At 35.1% G+C, this 8,401-nt stretch overlaps 1 annotated feature.

Annotated features, from left to right (window-relative positions):
* Window positions 7,230-7,730: an enhancer, noted in NCBI's record as "H3K4me1 hESC enhancer chr1:106930344-106930844 (GRCh37/hg19 assembly coordinates)". NCBI's record gives its function as "activates a minimal SCP1, AML or CMV promoter by ChIP-STARR-seq in naive H9 embryonic stem cells {active_cell/tissue: H9 hESC(naive)}" and the evidence as "EXISTENCE:reporter gene assay evidence [ECO:0000049][PMID:30033119]".

Here is an 8,401-nt window from a genome sequence, read left to right as displayed (position 1 = left end):
TAGCAAATAAAATATTGCATTTGATAAACCAGGTGGTTTTGCCAAAGCCAGACATTTAGTGAATTATCAATAATTGAAATTATGTAATATGATTTTCTATTTATCATATATATGTATGCTACTGCTTTATATATAGGTAGAAGAAAATAAATGTAAATTAATAAGATAAAGGAGGTACTTGCTAAGATGTAGCCATGTGTTTTTTTCATTTTTCTACTGATTTGTAGCTGAAATCTCATAAGATGAATGAATCTTAATAGGCAGAGCAAAGGGGATGAGGGTGGGAGGCGCCATTGCTGCAGAAGGAGTTATCTTTAATATTGCTCAGGAAGATCCTTTGTCATTTGCTTGAAAGTCACAAACTGAAGGCTAGTTTTCAAGAGGAAAATGTAATTGTAAAATATGACACAAATTTGGTGAGAAAGATTTGTCATATCTAGTGGAAGAGCAGGTTAACAATTGCTAGATGTTTTTCTCCTCATCCAAACCATCAGCCTTGGTAAAGAAGCCAAAAGTTTCAAAAAGGAAAGTTTCAACATGCAGTAGCTTTAAAAAATGCAAATTAAAGCCACTTAACTCTTCCTAAGGGAGTAGAATGAAGAAAAGGAGCACTGGCAGAGGAGTGTGTCAGGTCAAGCATCAGTTGTTACCAAGTGTGACATATGCTTGAGTGCAGGTCACAAGTGCTGGAGAAGAGGGGAGGAAGGTAGCTGGGCCAGACAAGATTGTCAGCGCTGGGGAACCTTAATGGATCCCTTAGGAGCATACCCACCATTTCATCATGCAAGGCTCAGTAATTGCCCTGACTTCCTAAACGGATCCTTAAAGATAGTCAGATTGTAGTGTGGATGTGGTTTTAATCTATACATTTTAACTTTTGTCCCTATTCAGTTGCTGGGACCACAGGACACAAGGTCAGGATGCTATATCCCTCCTATTACCTAACACACCCCACTCTCCAAACTCCTTTTACCCGTGAATTAAATTTTCCAGATAAGGGCAGGATTTCAGGAGCCCAGACAAAATGTGAGAGGTTCAAGGTTCCATGTGAGGCGCTTAAATGAGTGATCTGAAATAATGACTGGGAAACCTGTAAATCAGATAAACATGGGGAACAAAATTAGGCACATCACAGAGTCCTCCACAACAGGGTTCATTTACTCATAAAGCTGGGGCTGTCATTACACAATCTGAGGACATCAAAGATTGAAAACTGCCCAAAAGACTTCTATTTTTTTTCTTTAAACTGGTATGAGTTTGAGACTAACTTGAGTGAGCCCATTCTGACCTCCTTAAGGGTACTTCTGCCTGTGCTTATCTTCCTGTGCCTTTAGTCATTTCTACTCTCAGTTTTTGCCCACTATGTACTACAGTGTCAATTCACCAAATATTTATCAAGTGATTGTTATGCACAAGGCATAGAAATTGTCTTGTTCACGTATCCTTGCTAGTGCTACATTATTATTTTCTTTTTTAGAACTAGAAGGGAAATAGAAGACCATAGAGTCTCACTTTTCAACTTACTTTCACATAAGTGCTTCTTATAGGAAAATATAGGCAAAAATCCAGAAAGCCTTGAAAAGAAAATAACATTATTCTTTTATTCATTCTGTTATTCCTTGCAAAAAGCTACTCTAAACTTAATTGTACCCTAAATACCTGCAATGTACAGTTGTAGGAACACAAAAGTTATGGAAACACTCACATTAAATCTTAGTAAGCCAGAGAGTCCTAATATGAATTAAGGTTCAGAATCTGCAAATGGCTTGTCCAAGTTCTATTGATTACACTTAATTTTATTTTCATGGCATTTCTGACTGAACTGGCTTAATTAAGCCCTTAAAGTTCATTGGGCATTTCATTTGGCCACATTTTGGAAATCTATTTATTACACAGATAATCTTCTGGACTTCTCCCTGAAACCTTTCCTTGTTTTTTTTGTATGATTATGGGCAAAATTGTTGTTTTTTGTTTTGTTTTGTTTTGCTTTTCACTAAGAAGCCTGGAATCATCAAAAATTCTTAGTTTTTATCACTGAAATCAAACCTAGTCAGAAAAGATTTCGCAGTGCATGCTGGTTATATAGACACAGGACAATTGTAAATTAGTATTTGACTAAGAAATGGTCTATATGTCATTGGGGTATTATGTCTGAGTAATAGAAGTAAATGTACCTTGAAGCTAATTTGAATCCTCCCTCACCCCTGCCATCACTCCAGAGACAATCAGAAATGGCTCTTAGCAAAATAAAACTGCTTTGGAGCCTAAGAATAACTAGAGAAAGGGGTGACTGCTGAAGACTAATGATTTATATACACAGTAAAATTACCTACCTGGAGCAATTAAGATAGAAATGGAAAATGGAACATAGCTGTTATCATTACTTTATTATTGTACATTTATACATTTATACTTTTCAACCTGAGCATGAGTGCATAAAACCAAATCTGCTGAACAAAATGCATACCCTTTCTACCACTAAGGGTGAAGAAAATGAGCTTTTTTTACCCAGATAAATACCTATGTTTCTGAAGCTCTGAACATAGAACAATTTATATCTCAACCTCTCTAACAGGGTAGGGTATAGATTGTAAGTCATAAGTCATGCCATCAACATTTTTAGCATCTTTTTTTTTTTTTTTTTTTTTTTTTTGAGACGGAGTCTCGCTCTGTCGCCCAGGCCTGACTGCGGACTGCAGTGGCGCAATCTCGGCTCACTGCAAGCTCCGCTTCCCGGGTTCACGCCATTCTCCTGCCTCAGCCTCCCGAGTAGCTGGGACTACAGGCGCCCGCCACCGCGCCCGGCTAATTTTTTGTATTTTTAGTAGAGACGGGGTTTCACCTTGTTAGCCAGGATGGTCTCGATCTCCTGACCTCATGATCCACCCGCCTCGGCCTCCCAAAGTGCTGGGATTACAGGCGTGAGCCACCGCGCCCGGCCGCATCTTTTATAATCTAGCCCATTTGAAATTATGTAGATGGATGATATAATTGGTTGCTTGGATTTTCTCAAAAGTCTTTAAGCCTTGTTAAAGGCCATCTATTTATATGTTAATGAAACTAGACTGTGAATTGATAGTTGACAATGTAAGCAAGTGTCTACAGATCCCATGAATGTGCAGAAAGAATAAAAATCTTTGGAATAAAATATATACAACAGATGTAGGATTAGAATCAAGACTTATTTTTTTCATGCTTTTTTGTAACAAGGTTGGAGATTATAAAGCTCCTCTTTCAAGTACATTTAAGATGGTTAGAACAACTCTTGCATCTTTAAGAATCACAAGAGAGAAAGGTACATGTCACAGTTACTCATAAATATCATGTCAATTAATTGATAGATTCCGAAATATATATAACTGCTCAGGTAGAAAAAAAAATTATGAGGACCATCATTGAATGGAAGTAGCAGAAAGTTAGCAAAGAGGATAACTGGGAGTCTTAGACTGACTCCAAACTTCCTTTGTAACCTAACAACTCTGTGCCACAGGTCCTCCAAATGTAATTTGGAAAAGATAAATACATGTTATCTTACTAATTGTATGTAATTATTTGACAAAAATACGTTGCCTATGGATGAAAAGCCTGCAAATATCTGTTATTGTGAGATTTTAAACTTTTTTGTTTTTCTACTCTTACATATTTCTGATAGAAATAGGGTTTCATAAGAGGAAAAACTAGTCAATTACATTATTGCTTCCAGTTTACTGTCAGAGGGAAATCCATAGCTGATGATATTTAGACAGCAACTTTTATTTTCTATATTTCTTTATTTTCTAATTTCTGAAGTGAATGTGAAATATTGTATATTTTGAAGGAAAGTTGCTTTATCTCTTTTAATACCTTGTTGTCTTATAAGAATAAACAGTTACTTTATTTTGTCCTATTTTATTTTACCTTTTTGCTTGGGGTAAATTGAATATACACTTTATTCTGAGAAGAAAATGTATTTACTTAGACTTACATTTTAAATTTGTCAAGCAATCCCCCAGTTTTATCAAAGAACCACTAGGGGATGTTAAAATAACATAACATTTCTAAATTCACATGACTCTTGAAAGAAAATGTAGGCTTTGGAAATTATTTCTATGAAATATCTGTATACACAGATATTAATCTTTTATATATTTTATGGTAAAGATTTATATGTGCATGCACACACAAATGATTTCAATTTTCAAGATTTTTTATGTTTAAAATTGGACATAAGTTACTGTTTGTCTGCTCGCTCTGTGAGTTTACTTCATTAGGATAACTATTTTGACATTTACAACTCCAGGATGCAAAATAACCATAAGTATATAAGTCTGTTTTCCAAGAAGATAAATAAAATTTTACACTAAGATTTTATATGGCTGTTGAATTGACCTATAACAACATGGCCTTTTGAATTAGATTCTACTCTTCTTCTTTTTTTAAATCAAGTTATGAATAGGACTTTATCAGATTCCACTCTTTTCATACCCACTAGGACCTGCCACTCTGACATTCTTTTGGTTTCTTGAGCATTTGCATTTATTTATTTATCTCCCTGGAGTCCCTTTCCCCCAAGATTTTCACATGATTTACTCCTTCACTGTTCATACAAATGTCCTCACCTCAGTTTGCCCTTTCCTGATTATAACATGTAATATTATCCTACTTCTCCTCAATCGCTCTGTAACATAATTCTGTTTGATTTTATTCATAGAGATTATCACAATCTGAAAAATAGCTTAGTTATCTCTATAGGTACCAATAAACTGTTGCTAAATCACTGATTGTTGGCTATTCTGTGAATTTTTAAGTCACCTTAGAAATAAGAATAGTGAGTAAAGCAGGATGCTGCACTTATTCACCCATCCATCTTTTGCTTGTTTTGTCCTGTCTCCTTCACTGGATTTTGAAATTTGTGGGAATAGCAACTTTGGCTTGTCTTATTCAGACAGGTCATATATCCTCAGAAGGACATAGGAACTTTACAAAATGGGGAAACTTAATATAGATTAATTCTTCAAATATTAATATGCTTATCTGTTAAATTGTTATAGTAGTAGAACTACCTCATAAAGGTGTTATAAAACTTCACTAATTAATAAGTAAATTTTATTGAATATTTATTACATCAAAAACATTGCGGTGGGGCTATAGAACTGAACAGGACACAAACTTTGTCCTCAAAAACTGTGTAGTGTAGCAAAATAATACAAGTAATGTACCCAGGATAGTCAGACATTTAATCAGTAACAGTATATGCTACTTTCCTTTTCCTCCTTCAGATGTGACTCCGTTAACCCACACTATCTGTGGGGCTGTAAAGAAAAACATAATTAATAAGTTGGTTGATGGCTCTCATTTATTCAGATTCACTCAAGTTTGGTATTTAGTGTAGGCTTAAGCAGTCTTCCTGCATGATGAAGGCCTAAAATATAGTAGCCCAGAAGAAATGTGACCGGTCTCATGGAATCTGGGAGTACAGTGAATGATAGTTAGGTTTTCATATATGTGATTACACTCCTGAGGCTATTTGATTATTTTTACCTAATAAATTCCTTAATAAAACATATAATATAGACCTAGGTAAGAAATAATGTAAGCTGGGAGAAGAGCAGTATGGATGAAGGCAAAATAAAGAATTGCTTTGAGATATATTTAGAGGTAGGAGAAAGGGAACTTGGTGACTATTGCAGTATGATGAGATAAAGGAAAGAGATGAATCAAGAGAAAAACTTTTATTTCAGATTTTGGTACAAAAGTGGTTAGTAATATCATTCACTCTAAGGTGGAAACAGGATAAAGAGAAGTTCACAGTGGGAGAAATGATGAGCTCACTCACTTGGAGGAAGCTGTATGGGGTAAAATGAAAAGGGGCACAAGTAATATCTTGGTTTACACCAGCAGTTAAGGAATGTCTAATATAAGAGTAACCACTGCCCTCGAAATAAAGGAAGGAAGGAAGGAGGGAAGGAGGGAGGGAGGGAGGAAAGAAAGAGAGAGAGAAAGAAAAAGAAAGAAAGAAAGAGAAAGAAAGAAAAAAGAAAAAGAAAAAGAAAGAAAGAAAGAAAAGAAAGAAAAAGAAAGAAAGGAGGGAGGGAGGGAAGAAAGAGAGAGAAAGAAAAGAAAGAAAGAACGAAAAAGAAAGAAAGAAAGAAAGAAAGGAGGGAGGAAAGAAAGAGAAAGAAAGAAAGAGAAGAAAGAAAGACGGAAAGAAAGAAAGGAAGAAAGGAAGAAAGAAAGAAAGAAAGTGAAGAAAGAAAGAGAAGAAAGAAAGACGGAAAGAAAGAAAGGAAGAAAGAAAGGAAGAAAGAAAGAAAGGAAGAAAGAAAGAAAGAAAGAAAGAAAGAAAGAAAGAAAGAGAAAGAAAGAATTGAGAGAATTGGAAGGCAAATAAGAGAGTGATGCTTGAAAGCCAAGGGAGGAGAAAATTTCAAGACAGCTTGAGTGTTCCCAGCATAACTCAACACTGATAAGTTGTTAGAAGTGAGCTAGATACTGAAACTGCGAATAATAAAGTCCCCAGTAAATTTACAATATTCAATTTAATAGCCACTTGCCTACACCGATAATTCAACTTACATCTTACTGCCACTGAGGTTTTTAAAAGGTGGCTAAAGGTTTTTGAGCAAACCCAACTGACTAATTGCATTATCTTTCCACATATCTAAATGGCTTGAGTATTCTGTGAATATGAGACCACAGGCCATATTGTAGAGAGAAAAGGAATGAAAATCAATGGGAGAAACAGAGACTAGAAGGAGATAGAGGAGCCTTTCAGAAATTCATCCAGAGCAGATAAATGAAGAGGTAGGGGTCCCTACTACTTCTCCTTCTCCTTTTCCTCTTTCTTCTTTTGTTATTGTAGAATTCCCTAGTTTATTAATTTAGAATCTTAAAAATCTAAAAAGTCAATGGTTTCCTAATACTTCAGCTTTGACTAATAATCATTAATATTTACATATTTATGAAGTATTTTTCTCTATAATATGGCTCTGTGCTATTTTTTCTTATTTAATTATTTTCAAAACCCAATAAGTTACTTTTTTTTTTTTTTTCAGATGGAGCCTTGCTCTGTTGCCCAGGCTGGAGTGCAGTGGTGTGATCTCGGCTCACTGCAAGCTCTGCTTCCCGGGTTCATGCCATTCTCCTGCCTCAGCCTCCCGAGTAGCTGGGACTACAGGCGCCCGCCACCACGCCTGGCTGATTTTTTTGTATGTTTTTAGTAGAGACGGGGTTTCACCATGCTAGCCAGGATGGTCTCGATCTCCTTATCTTGTGATCCACCTGCCTCGGCCTCCCAAGAGCTGGGATTACAGGCGGAGCCACCGCGCCCGGCCATAAGTTACCATTATTATGCTCATTTTACAGGTAAGAAAACTAGGCCTTACAAAATATTGGCTAGAATCATATTGTTAATGCAAGATGGAACTAGAAATCAAATCCGTAACTCCATAATTCCAGATTTGTTTTTAAGCCATTGGTCTATACTGAATTTCATAGATAAGTATTTATCATCTTTGATATAAAAAATTTTAACTGTTATTTTTCCCTCCCCATTTTTATTGAGGGCTTTATGTAATTAAAGATTCTTTAAGATTTAGCAAGTTACATATTTAACATTGAGTAAAATTGTCTATTTTTTAGAACATGTATACACCATACAATGAAAGTTGTGGTATTTCTCCATCTCTTGAAATTATAACTTCTAATTTTTAAAAAGATTGTAATGTTTATTATTTATATTTTGACTATATGAGAATATTAGAAAAATGCAGATAGGCAAAGCTAAAGAAGAAAACAATGTTATATTTTGACAAAAATAAAAAGGAAAAAAGGAAAGAATGTTACTTAGACAAAACAATAAAACTATGCATATAACAAAATAGTGTTGTAAAGAATTGGTAATAAACGTCACTTAATTGTATAAAAATATTGCAAAGGTAATAATCCACATTAATGGTGGTGGGAAAATTAACAAAATGGAAAAGAAATGCTGCCTAAAGACCGAGCCATTGCATTTGCGGAGAAATTATGACAGTGAGGCAAAACAAACAAACAAACAAAAAAAAACTAATCGTTTTCAAATTTGTTCGTTTCTGAGTTCTGTTGGCAGAAGATGTGGCGGGATTAGAATGAGGACAGGATTAAGTTCAGGACACTGGCAACTTCTTCATGGCTTTTGGTTCATACCTTAAGCCCTCATACAAAATATGGTGGTTAATGAACCTAAGACCTATTATAAAAAAAGTGATCTAGGGTGACTAATGAATTAAGATGTCTTGTATGATGTTGGTCAGGGACCATGGAGGCTGGGGATTGTACTAATTTGTCCATTTGTTGTGTTATTGAAGAAAAAAATATTATAAATATATGCATTAAAGTAATGTCTTAAATTTAGTTATTTTCAAAAGATCATAGTGGCCCT

Source organism: Homo sapiens, chromosome 1 (genome assembly GCF_000001405.40).
Source record: "Homo sapiens chromosome 1, GRCh38.p14 Primary Assembly".
In the NCBI taxonomy this organism is placed as follows: domain Eukaryota; kingdom Metazoa; phylum Chordata; class Mammalia; order Primates; family Hominidae; genus Homo; species Homo sapiens.
This window is presented reverse-complemented; position numbering and strand designations above follow the sequence as displayed.